This window comes from Homo sapiens, chromosome 3 (genome assembly GCF_000001405.40).
Source record: "Homo sapiens chromosome 3, GRCh38.p14 Primary Assembly".
Lineage (NCBI taxonomy): Eukaryota > Metazoa > Chordata > Mammalia > Primates > Hominidae > Homo > Homo sapiens.
Genome location: NC_000003.12, coordinates 132,376,249 through 132,395,588, shown reverse-complemented (window position 1 = coordinate 132,395,588; position 19,340 = coordinate 132,376,249). Strand labels below are relative to the sequence as shown.

The window sequence follows — 19,340 nt, the reverse complement described above, 5'->3', positions numbered from 1 at the left end:
GCCTAGTTCAGCACAAGGACTTGCTTAAGTGTTGCAGTCCTTATGGCCTAGACTTCCTTTTAAGTTTTCTTGGAGACAGACAGCACTATAACCCCCAGTGGCAAAATTTATGGGAACTCAAGTTTAAACCCCTGGGATCCATGATTCCTCTCTGGCTAGGGCTAGTTTAAATGCTCCCTCTATAGGCAGGGGTCAGCTGAGTTTAGTCTGGTTTTCCTTTCTGCTCTAACAGGACAGCACCCAGTGGCTGTGTTCTTCCACTCCAAATTCCCAGAGATGCTCTCTGCACCACTCCCTACCACTGCCAGGATGGGGGAGGGGTGGCCTCAGTGACTCAGGCCTGATTTTTCTATCTCTTCAGTGCCTCTTTCAGCGATATGAAGTTAAAACCAGGTACTGTGAGTGCTCACCTGAGTTTTTTGTGGTTTTTTTTTTTTTTGAGACTGTCTCTCCTTGCTCCTCAGATTGCAGATAGCCTATTGTTGGACCTTGTAATCATGTAAACTAATACTTAATAAACTCCCCTTTATATATATCCTGTTAGTTCTGTTCGTCTAAGAGAACCCTGACTAATACACCTCAGTTTTCTCATTTTGGGAGATTAGCTGAATTAATTCATGCTTATCTCTGAATGAGCACAATGTTAAGTACCCAATGTTAGCTGTTATTAGTAAGATGAGTAAATTAGGACTCCTATCCTTCCCTCTACTTCTTTCCCTACTCTTCTGTATGCACTGTTCTCCCATCCTAACAACTTTTGTTAGCTTTGGTCATCTCTTCTGTAATCATAATTAATCCTTGCATGCTTTATTCATTGGTTGAATCTAAAATCAAAAATATCAATGCACAGTATTTCTATTGTGATTGTGTTAACATTGTTTACTATCCTATGATTTCAAAGTGTCTTATTTTATTTTTTATTGTATGCCTTCATCAAACACTAAGATGATGTATCTGCCTTAAACATATTCCATCTTTGATAAGTGATGTAATATAATTGTTGAAGACGGATTTCCCAGAACCATCTGACTTCTTATTACAATCTGAACCAGCTGCTCTCTGGGCTGGATGCCAAGCTGTCATCCTGAGTTTTTTTCCACCCAAGTCCTGGGTTGGAGTCAGTGTTCTGGGATCTCAAGTTTTTACGTTTCTTGGACTTAATTCTTGTTCTGGCTGGAGAACATCTTCAAGTAATTTTCTTGAAAGGGTGCATGATAAATCAACTTGATGAATTTTTACATGCTGGAAAGTGACCTCAATTTTTCCCTCTCACTTTCTCACTTGATTGATATTTTTACTGAGTGTGGAATGTTAGGTCCATAATTATTTTTCTCAGAAAGTTGAAGTTATAGCATCTAGGTATTCTAATAAGAAATTACATTCTTTTTTCTTTGTAGGACATAGTGGTCCCCCTCTAGAATCTTTCACAATGCTCTCCATGCCCAAAGTGTTCTGAAATTTCTTGAAAATGTTCTGCGTTTGGGTCTTTTTTTAAAAAAAAAATTCATCTTGTGGTCATGGTTACACTCATGTATACAAGTGGTAAACATTATTCAAAAAAACTGCATGTTGAATTGAATTGTACCATCAGGAAGAAGAAATCCTATAATGCTTAAAGCCTGTGCCACAACATTCAACGTTAGATTGTACCATTATGTATGGTTTCTCTAATTGTTTTATGTGTATATATGTTTAATGTCTTGAACTTCATCCTAAGCAGGAAATACATTTTTTTCTCATCTCAGTCTGTCCCTGTCAGTCTTTCAGAAGACCAAAAGTGGTAATTTTGTGCATTAAGAATACCCTGGACTGAATGGTGCTCTCAAGAGGCCAGGAAGATTATCTGTGTAGGAAGGAGAAAGGAGATAAACTAAGTGACTTCAAGTAACTTGGAAAAATTTCTAGCCCACTGTACCCAGGATTTGTGTCCTTTCAGAAGGGGCCATTCATTATTTTCTTTTGGCTTGTGGGAGGGAGAATGCATGTTTTTCCATCCTGGGAAACTTGCTTCATAGTCTGACTTCATGGCCAGACCTGCTTGAAGTCAACCAGTTACTAAAGGGCATCCATGTACCTGTGTAATTTTGTAGATGTTGCATGTCAGCTTCATTGAGGTCATTGAAACTGGGCCCAGAGGAGACGCAATTTACTTTTATAATAAGGAAGTTAAGATGTAGCAAGAGACTAAAGAGAGTTGGAAAGATATCTGCCACCTACATTCAATATTTTTTTCTGTTTGACATTATTCTATTTTGTTATTAATAAGATAACAAATCTTTGTAAAACAAACCCTTTCCTTGTTTCTTTCTTTCTACAATATCTACTTTCAGATTAAATTGGTAATAACTTAATCTGGCTCTCCTGTAGAATCTGTCTTTACAATTTTAATGGTTTTTATTTTTTAAGCGCTCTATTACATTTGACCTTGTTTTGAAATCTGTTTCTTTTGTTTTGTTGGGGGAGAATGCTGAGAATGTTGTATTCCCTTAGAAAGAAATCCTCAATCATAGTAACAGTTTTAATAAGATCACATATCTGCCTGTTGTTCTACCAAATGAAATTTCCATCACTTTAACAATAGTTGTCATTTCAAGATGTGTGTAAGAAGATTGAAGAAAACCCCTGATATGATTTGACTCTGTGTCCCCATCCAAACAGCAGGTTCCCCTCATGCTGTTCTCATGATAGTGAGTGAGTTCTCACAAGATCTGATGGTTTTGTAAGGGGTTTCCCCCTTCACTCAGCTCTCGTTCTCTCTCCTACCACCCTATGAAGAGGTGCATTCTGCCATGGTTGTAAGTTTCCTGAGGCCTCCCCAGCCATGTGGGACTGTGAGTCAATTAAACCTCTTTTCTTTATAAATTAGCCAGTCTCAGATATTTCTTTATTTTTTTTTGCATTAGTTGAAACATAAAAACTAGTTTAATAGCTTATTTTAAAAGTAACATTGCAGTACATGATAATCATTATATGAAATAATTACATGTTTATAATATAATGATTTTCTTATGATCATTTTCTTATAATGACTGAATGCTAAAGACACAGTAACTGAAAAAACTTACCTATTATACTCCCTTTGACTTAGTATTTAGCATTGAATACAAAAGTTCCAATAGCTTCCATGTAATTAGGGAAAAAATTTACAAATGCATAAAATAGAAACCAAGGTGAATTCTCATGCTGGCAATCAAATAAAGGCTTTTTACTTAATCCAAATGAAAAAGTCCCTTCCTCAAATTATAGAAACTAAATATTACAAAGTATAAAATTATAAGTTTCTGGTGAGATATTTTAAAGAATCTTTATCTTGAATAGTAGAGAACTGTATAAAAGGTGTTAAAATTTCCATATTGGAAACTGTTTAAAAACAATGAATATCAAACTAACCAAAACCATTAGCAGTAGATGCATTATAGGTCAATTTATAGTTTTCCTCAACATTGAGAGCAAGAGAAAACAGCCTTAAAATATACAACGTTTAGACAATTGCAATATTTAAGAAATATATATACAATTTATAAAGATTTACAGCATAATTCTTTTTTAAAATCTAATGTCAGTAAGAATTATGCACTGGTGATAAAATGAATAAGAAAAGAGGGGGCCAGGCATGGTGGCTCACGCCTGTAATCCCAGCACTTTGGGAGGCTGAGGTAGGCAGATCACAAGGTCAAGAGATTGAGACCATCCTGACCAACATGGTGAAACCCCGTCTCTACTAAAAAAAAAATACAAAAATCAGCTGGATGTGGTGGTGCACACCTGTAGTCCCAGCTACTCGGGAGGCTGAGGCAGGAGAATCACTTGAACCCAGGAGGTGGAGGTTGCAGTGAGCCAAGGTCATGCCACTGCACTCCAGTCTGGCAACACAGCGACGCTCCATCTCAAAATAAAAAGAAAAAGAAAAAAAAGAAAGAAAAGAACAATTATAATACCAACCATTGACAAAATGACACTACAGAAAATAAATAACCTACAGGTTTCACTGGTATTCCTTGACCATACAGATTAATCTGAAAATCCTAATAATGGAACATCCTTCAAACTAGAAAACATTTTGCAAAATATTTATGCTTCACTTTAAAACACGAATATCCTAAATTATTTATACCATCTTATCACTAAGGCCCTGTCTACATATAAAATAAGTAAAATGAGGAATTGAAATACTGTTTTTAATTGTAGCTAACCCAAGTACAGTGCTCTCCACCTGCCACCCCCACCCCAACAAAGTGTGTGTGTGTGACTTATCAGCTTTAATTTCTACCCTAGGGGAAATTAATTAAAACTACAAACCAGAAAATAGCTTTAACTAGGTTTTTTGATTTGTATTGGTTTTTAAGTGTTATAAAAACAAAGTGGATAAAGAAACAAAGTATCTTTTTATCAACACATTTGGAATAAAAACTGTATGGTGAGTTTGCGGTTTACATTAGCTATTCAAACTCTTTGATAATTGATCCTTCAATTACTATTGGTAATCCAAAAGAATTCAACCAAAGACAAAGAAATGCCTTGTTTAATGCCTCTTAAATATTTCGAGTTGAAGTAAAACTTTAATTTGCTGCTAGGTATGTTAGTGTATAGATTGAAAAAAACATGAGGGAACAAAGAAAAGTACACTGGGATTATTATTTTAGTTTTCCTTTGGTATTAAGAGAAACAGTATCTCTATCAAATCTATTCTGTTACTTTTCTTAAAAAATATCAATAATTTGGCCAGGTGCGGTGGCTCATGCCTGTACTCCCAGCACTTTGGGAGGCCAAGGCGGGTGGATCACGAGGTCAGGAGATTGAGACCATCCTGGCTAACATGGTGAAACCCCGTCTCTACTAAAAATACAAAAAATTAGCTGGGCGTGGTGGCGGGTGCCTGTAGTTCCAGCTACTTGGGAGGCTGAGGCAGGAGAATGGCGTGAACCCAGGAGGCGGAGCTTGCAGTGAACCGAGATTGCGCCACCACACTCCAGCATGACAGAGCGAGACTCCATCTAAAAAAAAAAAATTATCAGTAATTTAATGATATTTCTTAAGAAGAGTGAGAATATGACAACAGCTGACACCTGCTTTGTATATTAAGAAAAATATGGTTAAAACATTTTACTTCCCATAATGATTTACCTATCATAATGATTTACTTTCCTGGAAAACTGAACCATTACATCATTTAAATCTGATAATGGATTAAGGACATCAGACTTTGTTTTCCAATTTTTTCTTTTATGGGAGTATAAATATGGGGACATGACTATGGGACTATATATTTTCACATTGTTAGTGCATAGTTAATACAGTTACTTTTAGGTATTGTCTTTTAGTAGCATTATTAAAGTTAAAAAATAAAGGAAACAGAAGTAAAGAGTTTATAGAAGGATACATAGAAACACAGTACTTATCTCTGAGTGGAGACATTGGAATAGGTTTTTCATTCTATCCTTTTTACTTTATACATTGTTTATATAACAAATATCATTCAAGAGCAATGAAGATAGCTATGTAATGCTATGGTGCTAACTTACCTTAGCATACAACCATCTTGATAATAAATAATGGTCAAATGGCCAAACCTACGAATCCACAGAGATCACTTAAATACCTAAAATGATTATGGATCAGACATACAAAATACCAAATATAGGATACAGAAAAAACAACAACAACAACAACAACAAAAATTTCCCATGACTGAAGCCAAGGCTTTAAAGAAGACACACTTTCTTAGGTATTTTCAACTAAATGTTATCCACCTCAAAAGTGTTTAAGCCCATGGAATGTCCATAGATTCCAGAAAATTTGTGCAATTCTGCTTTTTTTTTCTGAGATGAGGTCTTGCTATATTGCCCAGGCTGGCTGAACATCTCGATTCTCCCACCTCAGCCTCCCTTATAACTGGGATTACAGGCACATACCACTGTGCCCAGCTTAATTCTGCTTTTCATATAATACTTCCCACTAGGCATAATCTAACTGCAGTGTGGGTCATCTTAATATAAATCAGTAATCTAAAAACATTTTAAACAACTAATTTGGTGCCATCCTAGAAAAGCATGCATAGTAACACAAACCCCAGAATATATGCCTCTGATTTACATTACAAAATTTAACCAATTAGCTTTTCTATTTAATGCTTTAAAATAAAATGAGGAATAATTTGAAAATTGAATAAACCTAGAAAAATTGTAGCATTCCATATGTAATCCTAATTTACAAAAATTGTGGGTAAAACAGGTTTTACTTTTATATACCATGCTACCATACCTAAATAAAATCCATACAACCATTTTGAGAGTATTTATATTGTGGTTTATGAAGTATGTATATCAAGAAAATGAGAAACTATCACCTATTTTGACTAGTATGCTTTAACAAAAAAAAATTTTTCTTACCCTAAATGGCCGTAAAATTCCTTTATGTTCATATCATAAATTTTATTAGGCCAAGAAGCTAACTAGTTTGTTCAAAGTAATGATGAAAAGGTTAGGGAAACAAAAGACAGTTATCAATAGCAGCTTTTAAAGAAGCTTCTCTTTGTTCAAGGAAACATTTTAATGTCCAATGTAATGAGAACTTTCTTCCTTTTCTAGTCTTAGAGTGTTTCTTATGGTAAAGTCCATATTTTCTTGAAACTCTTTATATGTATTGGTGATTGGAATTGCTAAACAGTTATCACACTTGTTTCCAACAGGAAAATCCACATGCAAACACTCAATTGAAGGAGTGGGTTTAAATCCAGCTGGAGGAATGGAACTGCAACCAGTCGCAAAAATAAGAATATTGGCCAGGCACGGTGGCTCACGCCTGTAATCCCAGCACTTTGGGAGGCCGAGGCAGGCAGATCACGAGGTCAGGAGATCGAGACCATCCTGGCTAACACGGTGAAACCCCGTCTCTACTAAAATACAAAAAATTAGCCGGGCGTGGTGGCAGGCACCTGTAGTCGCAGCTACTCGGGAGGCTGAGGCAGGAGAATGGCGTGAACCTGGGAGGCAGAGCTTGCAGTGAGCCGAGATCCTGCCACTGCACTTCAGCCTGGGTGACAGAGCGAGACTCCATCTCAAAAAAAAAAATAATAATATCTTCCATTGTTGTTGTAGATTTACCATCTTCAACAGCCTATGAGTAACTGTTCCAAAACCCCAAAGCTTTTACATCAGGTAATGTGTGTACTGTAAAAAGATCACTAAGGATTTTTGCAGAAAGACTCTCAGGTTTACGACACAGGATGCTACAAAATGCTTCTGGTTAAGCCTGAATTTTCTCCAAAACACCAGGTTTTCAGACCCTACTTAAAACTTTCAAAGGGTGCTTAGACTCTGAATTACATGGTAGACAAGTATGTCTTTTACCACCATATATTTATCACTTAATGTCGTTATAAATCTGAGATATCCAATTAACTCAGGGTAGTTATAGCATTCATTTATTACTGACTTTAAGTCAGTAATTTGTCCTGATTGTTTTGTTGTTGCAGTATTTATCCTGATTATAATCTGTGCCACAACAAAGTCTGAAACATCATCTAAAATTGGCTGGGTATTTTTTGGTCCATAAACAAGGCAGTTAAACAAGGTTTTAGAAAAGAAACCAGGTGAAGGACCACCATGAACTAAATAAATGGCAAGCATTTTGCCAGCTTCATAGTAAAGATTCCCTTTCAGAGCTTGAGAATTTAGAGATAAGTTCTTTGACAAGGACCCTTCAAACAACGATGAGTTCTCAAGATGTTGCATTAAGACACTCAGAAATTCTTGCTTTGATCCAGGATGTCCACTTCCAAAATTATCATTTTCAATAACGTATGCTACTTCAATTGCATATGAAGGATTAAAGTTTTGATTTCTGAATCCATCTAAGGCACGATTCCAGATATTGGCTTTGTTGATACATAATCTTGTAGTTTTTTTTTAAATTTGGAATCCTAACTCATTAATAGTGTTGATACATTCCTTCTAAATTTGCTGCCTTTCCTCAGTAGATCTTTACTCTGGAATACAGGTGACTGTCTGGGTAATTTAGGTGATGACTCTTCCAACAATCTGTAATCCCCACATTATTAGAGTTGGATAATACATGTTTTTGGCTTTTTGGAACACTCCTGAACTGTAGATAATACCCCTACATTCCAAAAACTCCCAATTTTGTTCCCATGACCGTAGTGAAGAGCAGGCTAAGTGTGTGTCACTGGAACCACAACACTGACAGCGCTTTATTTCCCATTTGCTATCAGGTACATTATAGTCTCACCCTTCTTTGCAATGACATCTTTGAACATCACAATGCTCATAGTGCTGCAGAAGCTCTTGATAAGCATTTTCCTCTAATTCTCAGGATGCATCTTTTTCAGGAATATGAATTCCCATTCTCAACATCTCTTTCTGAAAGATGTCACTATTATTGCATATTGTACACCTAAAGAAAAACACTCCTGCATTTATTGCTTGAACCTGTAAACAGTCTCTATGAAACCAAGCGTTCTTACAACAAGCACTTTGTAATATGTTATAACTTAGAATAGGCTCAATAAATTCTGAGCAAATGGTGCATGGTAAGGAGTCTCTATAATTATTAGATGTAATTATTTGAACAGGTCGATGGTTCCAACAAAATGATGTGAAATTGCCAGTAAACTGGAAAATACATTCTCTCTGAAGTCCACATGGGAAATAACTTCGTTTACATTAGGGTGCAACACATCCAACTGAAGCACCATTTTTCTTGCAAAGACAGCATTTCAGTTTAGAAACTCTATTCACTTCCTTCCTGGTATCTTCTAATAGAAAACCACAAACTCCTTCTTTACCTCTCTGCCAAATTCCACTTGACATCAACAAAGAATAATAATGTACGGTGAGATTCCATTTCTCCTTAGTTTTCTTTTCTCCATATTTATTAGGACACTCATCCTTTTTTCGACAGAAAACACAAGCCACCTACTATTCCCCACTGCCCAGCTGGGCAGTGGTCTTGGGGTGGCCCATGTTCCTGGTCCAGATTACTGGTCCAAGAGGGGTTAAAATGGACCTTGTTCAAGGTTCTGTGAGTCACCAGGTTTATTTTCATTCATTTTACAAAGCGCGCTGGGCAGAAGTTCCAGAGCGTCAGTGTCGCTTTTCCCGGCCCACTCTGCACCGCAGCATGCTGACCATGCACGGCCACATTCAACCTCAGGTATTTCTTCATAGCAGTGTGAGAACAGACTAATACAACCCCACACTTTTAAGAGTAGGCAGAGAGGTAATGAAAAATGATGTCTCATGTTTGCTTCTTTTAACTTCGTAAAATTCACAATAATGATGTTTTTGGCTGGAAATGATAGATTTCTCCCTTTGTTCATTCATTATTTCATTTAACAAACACCTACGTGGTATTTGTTAAGTATTAACTCCTTTATTCTTCATCACAATTTTTTTTTCTTTTTTTTTTTTTTGAGATGGGGTCTCTTCTGTCGCCAGGCTGGAGTGCAGTGGCGATCTTGTCTCACTGCAACCTCCGACTCCCGGGTTCAAACAATTCTCCTGCCTCAGCCTCCCAAGTAGCTGGGATTACAGGCACCTGCCACCACGCCCAGCTAATTTTTTTTGTATTTTTAGTAGAGACGGGGTTTCACCATGTTGGCCAGGATGGTCTCGATCTCCTGACCTCCATCACAATTTTTTGAGGTAAGTACTATTATTATCCACATTTGATAGATGAGGAAACTGAAGTATAGAGAAGTTAAGTAACTTGCCTGGGATCATATGGCTAGTAAGTGGCAGAGCTGGGATTTGAACTCACGCTGTTTGGCTCCACTAGTTTATCCTCTTCTCTTTTCTATGTATGTGTCCCCTTTAGTCACTTCACTAGAATAGTTACTTCTAACATAAAGGTACTTGGTAAAAAGTTGATTTAAAAGACTTAGCCCTCTTTTATAAAATTTTAAAATTTAATTATAGGTGGATCAGACATATATGTGAAAAGATACTACCAAAAAAAGGTAAGAAAAAAAAGAAACAAAAATCCATTTTTAAAGATTGAAGGAGTGGTATAGAAGTTTTATTTTCCCTCGTTCATTTTCTTTACTTCAAGTATGATTTACTTTGTATAGCCTTTGTAAGAGGGATGGAGGAGAGAAGTGGTGATGGCAAGTAACTTTAGATGTTATAACAACAAAGGGTCACATATTAAAATTTGGCTTTAAATTTTCCATGGTATGCCATAAGCTTCTATTTGTTATATTTGCTATAGATTTTTAAAGTTTATTTTTCCGTGCTTGGGCTTGGCAAATATGATCACAATAACCATACTACTATTCATTTAATAATAAAATGAGTTTTGGGAACAATAATTGTAATGGTTGATCTTCTTGAGTAGCCATCACTCTTTGTTCTCAAAACCACCATTTTAAAACACGCCTAATTCTTTGAGTGCCTTGGCTCTTCAGGTGACACTTATTAAGATTACATTTAAAAATCTGAGCTCATTTCCAACTTCTATTATTCCTTTTTCTTTTTTTTTTATTATACTTTAAGTTTTAGGGTACATGTGCACAACGTGCAGGTTAGTTACATATGTATACATATGCCATGTTGGTGAGCTGCTGCACCCATTAACTCGTCATTTAACATTAGGTATATCTCCTAATGCTCTCCCTCCTCCCTCCCCCCACCCCACAACAGGCCCCAGTGTGCGATGTTCCCCTTCCTGTGTCCATGTGTTCTCATTGTTCAGTTCCCACCTGTGAGTGAGAACATGCGGTGTTTGGTTTTTTGTCCTTGCGATAGTTTGCTGAGAATGATGGTTTCCAGCTTCATCCATGTCCCTACAAAGGACACGAGCTCATCCTTTTTATGGCTGCATAGTATTCCATGGTGTATATGTGCCACATTTTCTTAATCCAGTCTATCATTGTTGGACATTTGGGTTGGTTCCAGGTCTTTGCTATTGTGAATAGTGCCGCAATAAACATACATGTGCATGTGTCTTTATAGCAGCATGATTTATAATCCTTTGGGTATATACCCAGTAATGGGATGGCTGGGTCAAATGGGATTTCTAGTTCTAGATCCCTGAGGAATCACCACACTGACTTCCACAATGGTTGAACTAGTTTACAGTCCTGCCAACAGTGTAAAACTGTTCCTATTTCTCCACATCCTCTCCAGCACCTGTTGTTTCCTGACTTTTTAATGATCGCCATTCTAACTATTCCTTTTTCTAAAACACACACACACATACACACGCACACCCTAATGCCTACATAATTAAGGTAGTTTTAGACCTCTGAGTTACTTCACAGAATCTTGATTAAGTGGACAAACCTGCATGTTCTACTCACCCTAGGGGTTATTGCATAGTTTTTTTTTTTTAATTTCAACTTTTATTTAGATTCATGGGATATCTGTCTATATCCATTTGTTACATGGATATAGTTTGGGATGCTGAGGTTTGAGGTACAAATGATCCCATCACCCAGGTAGTCAGCATAGTACCCAATAGGTAGTTTTTCAACCCTCACCCTGCTTTCCCACTGCCAACTAGTAGTCTTCAGTGTCTATTGTTCCCATCTTTATGTCCATGTGTATCCAATGCTTAGCTCCCACTATAAGTGAGAATATGTGGTATTTGGTTTTCTGTTCCTGCATTAACTTGCTTAGGCTAATGGCTTCCAGCTGCATCCATGTTGCTGCAAAAGACATGATTTCATTCTTTTTTATGGCTGCATAGTATTCTGTGGTATATATATATACCGCATTTTCTTTATCCAATTCACCACTGATGGACACCTAGTGATGGTAGTGGGAGGCCATCTGGAGTGGCTGCTGCCATAATGCCAGCTGCAGGAGGAAGGTGTGGCTGAGGCTGCATGCTCCATGGAGCCGGTGGGAGCTGGGGACAAGTGGGAGCCCTGCCCCTTCTGAGTTGGGGTGAGAGCTCCTTGGGTGCCTCTGCAAACGCCCAAGCCATGGCTGCAGATCTGAGCATCCCTGTGCTCTCGCAGCCTGTGAGCAGGCAGGGGCCCCACCTTCCCAGGCACAGCTGCAGCCACCCAAGCTGTGGCTGTGGAACTGAGCCTCCTGCTCCACAGAGCAGGCAAGAGGCAGGAGACCCATTCTCCTGAGCATGGCCACAGCCGCTCAAACCGTGGCTGCAGACCTGGGCCTCCTGCTCCCTGGAGCAGGCAGAATGCCCCCCTCCACTAATTGTGCAGCTGCAGCCATCCAAACCACAGCTGTGGACCCAGGCATCCTGAATTCCTGGGGGCCCAGGAAGCCCCCACCATCCTCACAGGCTCAGAAGTGCTTGCTCCTGCTGCCTGGCTTCTCCCTGCTGTCAGCACCTGCTCCTATCTTGGAGCAAAGTTGGGGCCAAGCCTGGGCGCTATTGCAGCCCGGCTGGGAGTATAAACACTTGGAGCAGTGCTGACATGCCAGCCCCTGCTGCTTTGGCCCCCTCTGGACTTTGGACTCTGATGAGCATAGGAGGAAAGCCAATGGGGTGCTGAGGGCAGCTCAGAACTGGCCTATGGGCACCCCTTGACAGCTACAGCCTGAGCACCATGAATGGCAGCAGGAGGCAGACAGGTTCCTGGGCTGAATGGGGTGGATCCCCAGTGAGGCCCCACCTTCAGGCTAGGGAGGGCCTGAAGGCTGGGGGTTGGGCTGCCAATCCCATGGACAGGAGTGGGAACTTATGGCACCTTTTGCAGGCCTGCTCATGGCTACCTATGGATCAATCAGCATGCACTTCCTGCCTTCTGAGACCCATAAAAGCCCCAGGCTCAGCCAGACCTGAGCAGACATTGGGGTGACCAGCTGCAGAAAGGAGCTACCCTCTGCTGATAGCTGAATACTTGTTGGGACAACTTGCCTAGCAGAGAGGAGCTACCCTCTTTCCTAGAAGCTGAACACTCATTGGTAACACAGGAATTATTAAGAAATTGTTTTTAGGCAGCTAGAAAGGGTAAAAGAGTTCTCAGTGGAATTTTCCTTTAATAAAAAGCAGCCCCAAACCGTTTCTTCTCTAACAGAAAGCAGCCTGAAGAGTCAGGCATAGATATGCAAATTAGGAGCTTTTATATGTAAATGCTGGCAGCTGTACCTGGAAGCCAGATACATTCGATATGGCATCTCCCACCCTCTTTTCCTTGTCACCACGTGTGCCAGTGTCATGACAACTTCCAGGTAAAACCACGTGTACAGGCATGATGGCCACCACCAGGTAGAGGCCCTATTTGCATAATAAAAGACTAGGGTGGGAGGGTCAGTTTTTTCATGGGCTATGTAAATGGCACACCTGGTCAAATCTATCCTCTAAGCCCTACATAAATCAATCACTGCTTCCTCAAGCTTCTGTACAAAATCGATTGCATTCCGCCCCAAATCAGAGAACCTTTCTTGGGCAACCTGCTTTCTCAGCATGAGGAAGCCTTTTCTCTTTCTCTTCTTTTTCTATTAAACTTTCCACTCCTGAGCCCACTCCCCGTGTGTGTCTGTGTCCTGAATTCTTTCTTGACTGTGACAAAGAACCAGGGTACATACCCCAGACAATGGAGCCATTTCACTGGGACATACTGCCTGTGGAAAGGAGCTGCCCCCTGCAGTCTCCCCTGAACTGTTCTATCGCTCAATAAAGCTCCTCTTCATCTTGCTCACCCTCCACTTGTCTGCATACCTCATTCTTCCTGGTCTCAGGACTCATGAATAGTAAGGCTAAAAGAGCTGTAACACAAACAGGGCTGAGACATGCCCCTTGCTCGCCACGTTGCAGGCAAAGAGAAGGAAAGAAGAGCTGTGGCCCTTCGGGGATCCCAGACCTGGGAGTTCCCCGAGCCAGGGCTGTGACTCCCAAAGAGGGAGTCCTGCAGTTCCTGGTGTCTCCAAACTTCTGGGCACCACTGTGTTCCCCATTGCCGGCCATAGAAGCTGCTTGCGGTGTTTCTGGTCCTGCTGTAGCCTCACAGATAGCCAGCATCTGTCCCGGCACCTGGAGCTGCCCGCCCTGCTACGGCATCCAGCATGTCTGATTGTGCGCAGTGGCCAGACCCCATGCGTGCTCACACAGCCCTCACCGTTCCACGTCTGACTCACCCTTGACAGGTGTGGGACCCAGGCTGGTAGCATGAGCTGAGTACAGCCTGCCAGGCCGAGTGGGCAAAATGAGCCCAGTGGGCCCAGGCAAAACTCAGATGAAGGTGCCACTGGCCACAGAGGTTTCCAGCCAGAAAAACAACACCCCAAGGATCCTGTAACACTAGGTAGATTCCATGTCTTTCCTATTGTGAATAGTGCTATGATGAACATGAGAGTGCATGTATCTTTTGGTAGAATGGCTTTTTTCCTTTGGGTGTATACCCAGTCATGGGATTGCTGGGTTGCATGGTAGTTCTATTTTTAGTTATTTCACTAATCCTCAGAGAAATGCAAATCAAAACCATAATGAGACACCCTCCCACACCAGTCAGAATGGCTATTATTAAAAAGTCAGAAAATAACAGATGTTGGCGAGGCTGCAAGGAAAATGGAATGCTTATACACTATTGGTGGGAATGTAATTTAGTTCAGCCACTGTGGAAGCAGCTGGAGATTTATTGCATAGCTTGAAGCAGGGTTTGTTAAAGCAAGGTCAGGAACTGCCTGCAATGGAATCATGTGTAATACCTAGTAAAAAGGCAGATTGCTGGACCCACTGTAGGCATGCCGAATCAAAATTTCTGGGATTGAGACCTGGGAATCTGAATCTTGAACACACATCCTAGGAGATTCATATGCACACTCAAATTTGAGAATTGCTGTTTTAGTTATACTTTTGGGAGAGTTTCTGTAACCGATGAATTTAAATTGGGGCTTCACAAGAAAAATACTCTGGCTTTAAACTGAGCAATGCTGTTATGTTAGCACCAACCATTTTATTAGTTATGATAATAAACAAGTAATTATAGAGGGCCTAAATTGAATCTGCCCAATGTGTATTTTTGAACAATGGCCAGAAACAAGTCTTAAGAATATTGTGCAAAGTTAACTGGAAAGAGGGGAGACCTTGTGGTTTAAAACCAGAAATATGGGGTTAAGGGGCAAAATTTGGGGGTAACTATTAAAAGGAAGGGCCAAATCCTCAAACTCTGAAAGAAAAATAATATAAACTAGTGAAAAGCGAAAACCTCAGTTAAATTACTTAGCTGTGACACTCATAAGGGCAGAGGCTATAAGTGATTCAGTGCTGCACTCCCTGTACCAAACGATGGCATTTTTCTTAAGATTCCCTTTTAAAAATATGATGGAAACTATGGACCCTACTGAAGGCTAAAAATAGGTACTTAATACATGTTTGTGAGATTAAATTAAATTGTTTACATAGTGTTATGCCTGGTTTCTTCCCTTCACTGAATGTCTTGGCTAGTGTTCTTAACTTTGACACAAGTATAGACCCATTTGCTAGAAAAACAAGTTCAGGTTTCCTGTTTTATGGTAGATGTACCTGATAGCAGTAACTTAACTTAAGCATATCCTGAGAATGACCCTGTATGGCAGACCCACCTGAATGCGTGCTTGGAGTTTGGAGCTAAGGAATATGGGAGTGGCCAACATGGAGATTCATTCCTTATGTATGAGAAACATCTAAACCCATAGCCCGTCCTGTGGATTGTGGGCCATACAGGGGATCAAGGCCTGTTGTTTTGGGTTAAATGAGGTTTGCCAGGTAAGGCTTGTTAGGGGGAGGTGGTTAAGTGAAAATGCTATATAAATATAACTGCATGCCTTTTGCAAATGGTTGCAGTTCTCCTGATCAGCCGAACACCACTGAACTCTCTCCCCTGTATGTAATTTCCCCAGTAAAATTCCATGACTCATTTGCCGATCCTGGGTCTCTACCTGAATCTGGTGCCATCCCCACTGGAGTAAATAGGGGTTTGGCACAACACGTATTTAGGGTAAAAAGACCTATTGTACTGAACTTCCCTTTCTCCCAATCTTTTACTGAATTAATAGAAAAGATGTTAAAATAAGAATTAAATCATAACAGTGCTAGAGAGAACATCAGCAGGTCAGATATTTTGAGAAATTCTTCAAAGATAAGCAGATGTGATCAAACCAATGAAGAAGTGAAAACAGAGGAATTGAAGTCACTAGAGATGAATGTGGTTCTTCCCAAGGGAGCCGTAGGGAAGCTAGGAACTTGGCTCATCCATACAACATTAGGGAACTATGGAATACTTGTCAGGGTAACGCATTAAAGGGTGCATTCCCTATCAGCTGGTCATCCCCCACCTTCCTCCATAGACACAGGGTGGCCTCCTTCAAGATAAAATCTGGAGGAGTGCTCTCTGTGGAAAGGGGGTGCGGTTTTAGGGGGAGGCCTCCTAGTATGGCTGCTGTGCCTTGAAGGGGAAGCAGAGCAGACATTGTGGGACTCATATCACAGACGTGGAAGGGAAATTTTAAAAGGTTACAATCACTCTGCCCAGGAGATATTTACACAGAAACACTCACCTCAGCCATGAGTAAATTCCTTTTATTTTTTGATATGTTCCCAGCTGCCATACCACTTCCCTGCTCACAAACGCTACAGGGCACCTGCTGCTGTAACTCCTGCCCTTATATGGAACCTCAAACCTGCTCTTTCCAATCAAGTGAGAGTATCCACTTCAGACAATGGTCTTGTGCCTCCTTTAGACTAACACTTCCACAGATAACTGTACACTTTGGGCAAAATATAGAATACAGCTAGTTGAAAGTAGTTGAAAGCAATTGAAAGAAGGGGCAAGGAGTCAACATTTGAAAAAAGGGAATGGCGCTAGGTGAGTTTTTTTAATTTTTTTGTTTATTGTTATTTTTTTAAGGCTTTTGGCCTGAGGGCAGGCTCATCTGTGTCATGCAGGGGTAAAGGGTGGGGGTGGATGGCTAAAAACCCAGGTAAAAAAAAAATCCATCGTCTTGCTGGCTTGAAATACCAGAGGACAGAGTTTGGGGGCATTCATCACCTCTGAAAAGTGAGAAGGAAATTCCCCAAAATTGAAAGCCAAAGAAGGGGAACCCCATACTGTGCATATAAATTCTGCCCAAATGCTGTGGCTGACCTCCACACTTTGAACTAACCATACACAGGGAAGATTCCAAGCAGCCTAAATGAAGACTAAAAGAATTGGACTGAGATTTGAGTTACTGCTCATTACAGTTTTTCAGCCAATTTAACTGCCTGCTTTAAAAAAAAGTTTTTAGAGGAACATAATAGAATAGCATCCAGAGTCTTTACAATATATTATTCCAATGTCTAAGACAAAATCCAAAATTGGTCTACATAAAAGGAAACAGAAAAACAGAACCCATATAGGAAAGGACAACAAAGACTGGTCTTGAAATGACTAAGATATTGCAATTAGCATGTGAGAATTTTAAAGCAGCTATTCAAGAAGAACTTTTCTTGGGGAAACACATACATGGCTAAAACGAAAACCAACACTAACCATCTCTATTAATCCTCCAAGCTCTTCATTTGTGGATTATGATTTACAAGAATTTGAGAAAAAAACCATAGCATTAAACACAAGGTCCAAGATTAATAAACCCAAAAAACTGAGCCCAGAGAAAACAGATAATTTAGGGAGCAGAGGAGAACTTGAAAAAATTATTAGTATCCTTAAAGATTTTCAAGAGGAGATTGCACTGATAAAATAATGAGGCTGCCAGGTGTGGTGGCATGTGCCTGTAATCTCAGCTGTTTGGGAGGCTGAGGCAGGAGGATCCCTTGAGCCTAGGAGTTTGAGGCTGCAGTGAGCTGTGATACTGCCATTGCACTCCAGCTGGGGCAACAGAGTGAGACCCCATTTCTGAAAACAGACAAACAAAAAACAGCTACGGTGAAAAAAAGAACAGTCAGTAAATACCAAAGAAAAGAATACTCGTAAGTAAAACAGGAATAATGGATTTGCTGACGACCAAGTTGATGTTCTGGAAAACGAAATTTACTGGAATGTAGAGAAATAAAATAAATGGTGGAAAATATGAGAGAAAACTCAAGGCATGGAGGATAGACCCAAGAAATTCAAGTTCCAGAACACAATTTTTCTTAGTTGGAGAAAGACAAGTGTCTTTAGATGGAAAAAAATCATATCAGCCATACAGAATTAGACAGAAAACAAACAAAAACCCAAAATACCCATGCCTAAACACAACCTGGTGAAATTTCAGAACTCTAAGCTAAAGAGAATATCTTAAAAGAATTAGAAAAAGCAAAACAGATTACTTACATTGGAATGAGAATCAGACTGATAGACTTCTCATCAGCAATCCTGTATGCTGGAAGACAGCAGAATACCGCCTTCAAAGTTTTGGTAGAAAATGATTTTCAGGGGGAGGAGCCAAGATGGCCGAATAGGAACAGCTCCCGTCTACAGCTCCCAGCGTGAGCGACGCAGAATACGGGTGATTTCTGCATTTCCATCTGAGGTACCGGGTTCATCTCCTAGGGAGTGCCAGACAGTGGGCGCAGGCCAGTGGGTGCGCGCACCGTGCGCGAACCGAAGCAGGGCGAGGGCCTCACTCGGGAAGCGCAAGGGGTCAGGGAGTTCCCTTTCCTAGTCAAAGAAAGGGGTGACGGACGCACCTGGAAAATTGGGTCACTCCCACCCGAATACTGCGCTTTTCCGACAGGCTTAAAACACGGCGCACCACGAGATTATAACCCGCACCTGGCTCGGAGGGTCCTACGCCCGCCCACGGAGTCTCGCTGATTGCTAGCACAGCAGTCTAAGATCAAACTGCAAGGCGGCAGCGAGGCTGGGGGAGGGGCGCCCGCCATTGCCCAGGCTTGCTTAGGTAAACAAAGCAGCAGGGAAGCTCGAACTGGGTGGAGCCCACCACAGCTCAAGGAGGCCTGCCTGCCTCTGTAGGCTCCACCTCTGGGGCCAGGGCACAGACAAACAAAAAGACAGCAGTAACCTCTGCAGACTTAAATGTCCCTGTCTGACAGCTTTGAAGAGAGCAGTGGTTCTCCCAGCACGCAGCTGGAGATCTGAGAACGGGCAGACTGCCTCCTCAAGTGGGTCCCTGACCCCTGACCCCCAAGCAGCCTAACTGGGAGGCACCCCCCAGCAGGGACACACTGACACCTCACACGGCAGGGTATTCCAACAGACCTGCAGCTGAGGGTCCTGTCTGTTAGAAGGAAAACTAACAAACAGAAAGGACATCCACACCAAAAACCCATCTGTACATCACCATCATCAAAGACCAAAAGTAGATAAAACCACAAAGATGGGGAAAAAACAGAACAGAAAAACTGGAAACTCTAAAAAGCAGAGCGGCTCTCCTCCTCCAAAGGAACGCAGTTCCTCACCAGCAACGGAACAAAGCTGGATGGAG

General features: G+C 40.7%; 1 long non-coding RNA gene and 1 pseudogene across 1 annotated transcript, besides 4 other annotated features; both read right to left on the bottom strand.

The window, feature by feature from the left end:
• Nucleotides 1-4,539: 4,539 nt before the first annotated feature.
• LOC124909435 (uncharacterized) lies at nt 4,540-18,800 on the bottom strand. Its single transcript, XR_007096093.1, has 2 exons — nt 18,227-18,800; nt 4,540-4,994 (listed from the first exon to the last, which is right to left on the bottom strand). It is a non-coding gene; the product is annotated as an uncharacterized LOC124909435 (long non-coding RNA).
• On the bottom strand, nt 6,252-8,930 carry G2E3P1 (G2E3 pseudogene 1; annotated as a pseudogene).
• Nucleotides 12,261-13,039: an enhancer, noted in NCBI's record as "OCT4-NANOG-H3K27ac-H3K4me1 hESC enhancer chr3:132101394-132102172 (GRCh37/hg19 assembly coordinates)". NCBI's record gives its function as "activates a minimal SCP1, AML or CMV promoter by ChIP-STARR-seq in naive H9 embryonic stem cells {active_cell/tissue: H9 hESC(naive)}" and the evidence as "EXISTENCE:reporter gene assay evidence [ECO:0000049][PMID:30033119]".
• Nucleotides 12,570-12,864: a silencer, noted in NCBI's record as "tiled region #8682; K562 Repressive non-DNase unmatched - State 24:Quies". NCBI's record gives its function as "represses a minimal TATA promoter and a strong SV40 promoter by Sharpr-MPRA in K562 cells {active_cell/tissue: K562}" and the evidence as "EXISTENCE:reporter gene assay evidence [ECO:0000049][PMID:27701403]".
• Nucleotides 13,040-13,817: an enhancer, noted in NCBI's record as "OCT4-NANOG-H3K27ac-H3K4me1 hESC enhancer chr3:132100616-132101393 (GRCh37/hg19 assembly coordinates)". NCBI's record gives its function as "activates a minimal SCP1, AML or CMV promoter by ChIP-STARR-seq in naive H9 embryonic stem cells {active_cell/tissue: H9 hESC(naive)}" and the evidence as "EXISTENCE:reporter gene assay evidence [ECO:0000049][PMID:30033119]".
• Nucleotides 13,818-14,596: an enhancer, noted in NCBI's record as "NANOG-H3K27ac-H3K4me1 hESC enhancer chr3:132099837-132100615 (GRCh37/hg19 assembly coordinates)". NCBI's record gives its function as "activates a minimal SCP1, AML or CMV promoter by ChIP-STARR-seq in naive H9 embryonic stem cells {active_cell/tissue: H9 hESC(naive)}" and the evidence as "EXISTENCE:reporter gene assay evidence [ECO:0000049][PMID:30033119]".
• Nucleotides 18,801-19,340: the final 540 nt, after the last annotated feature.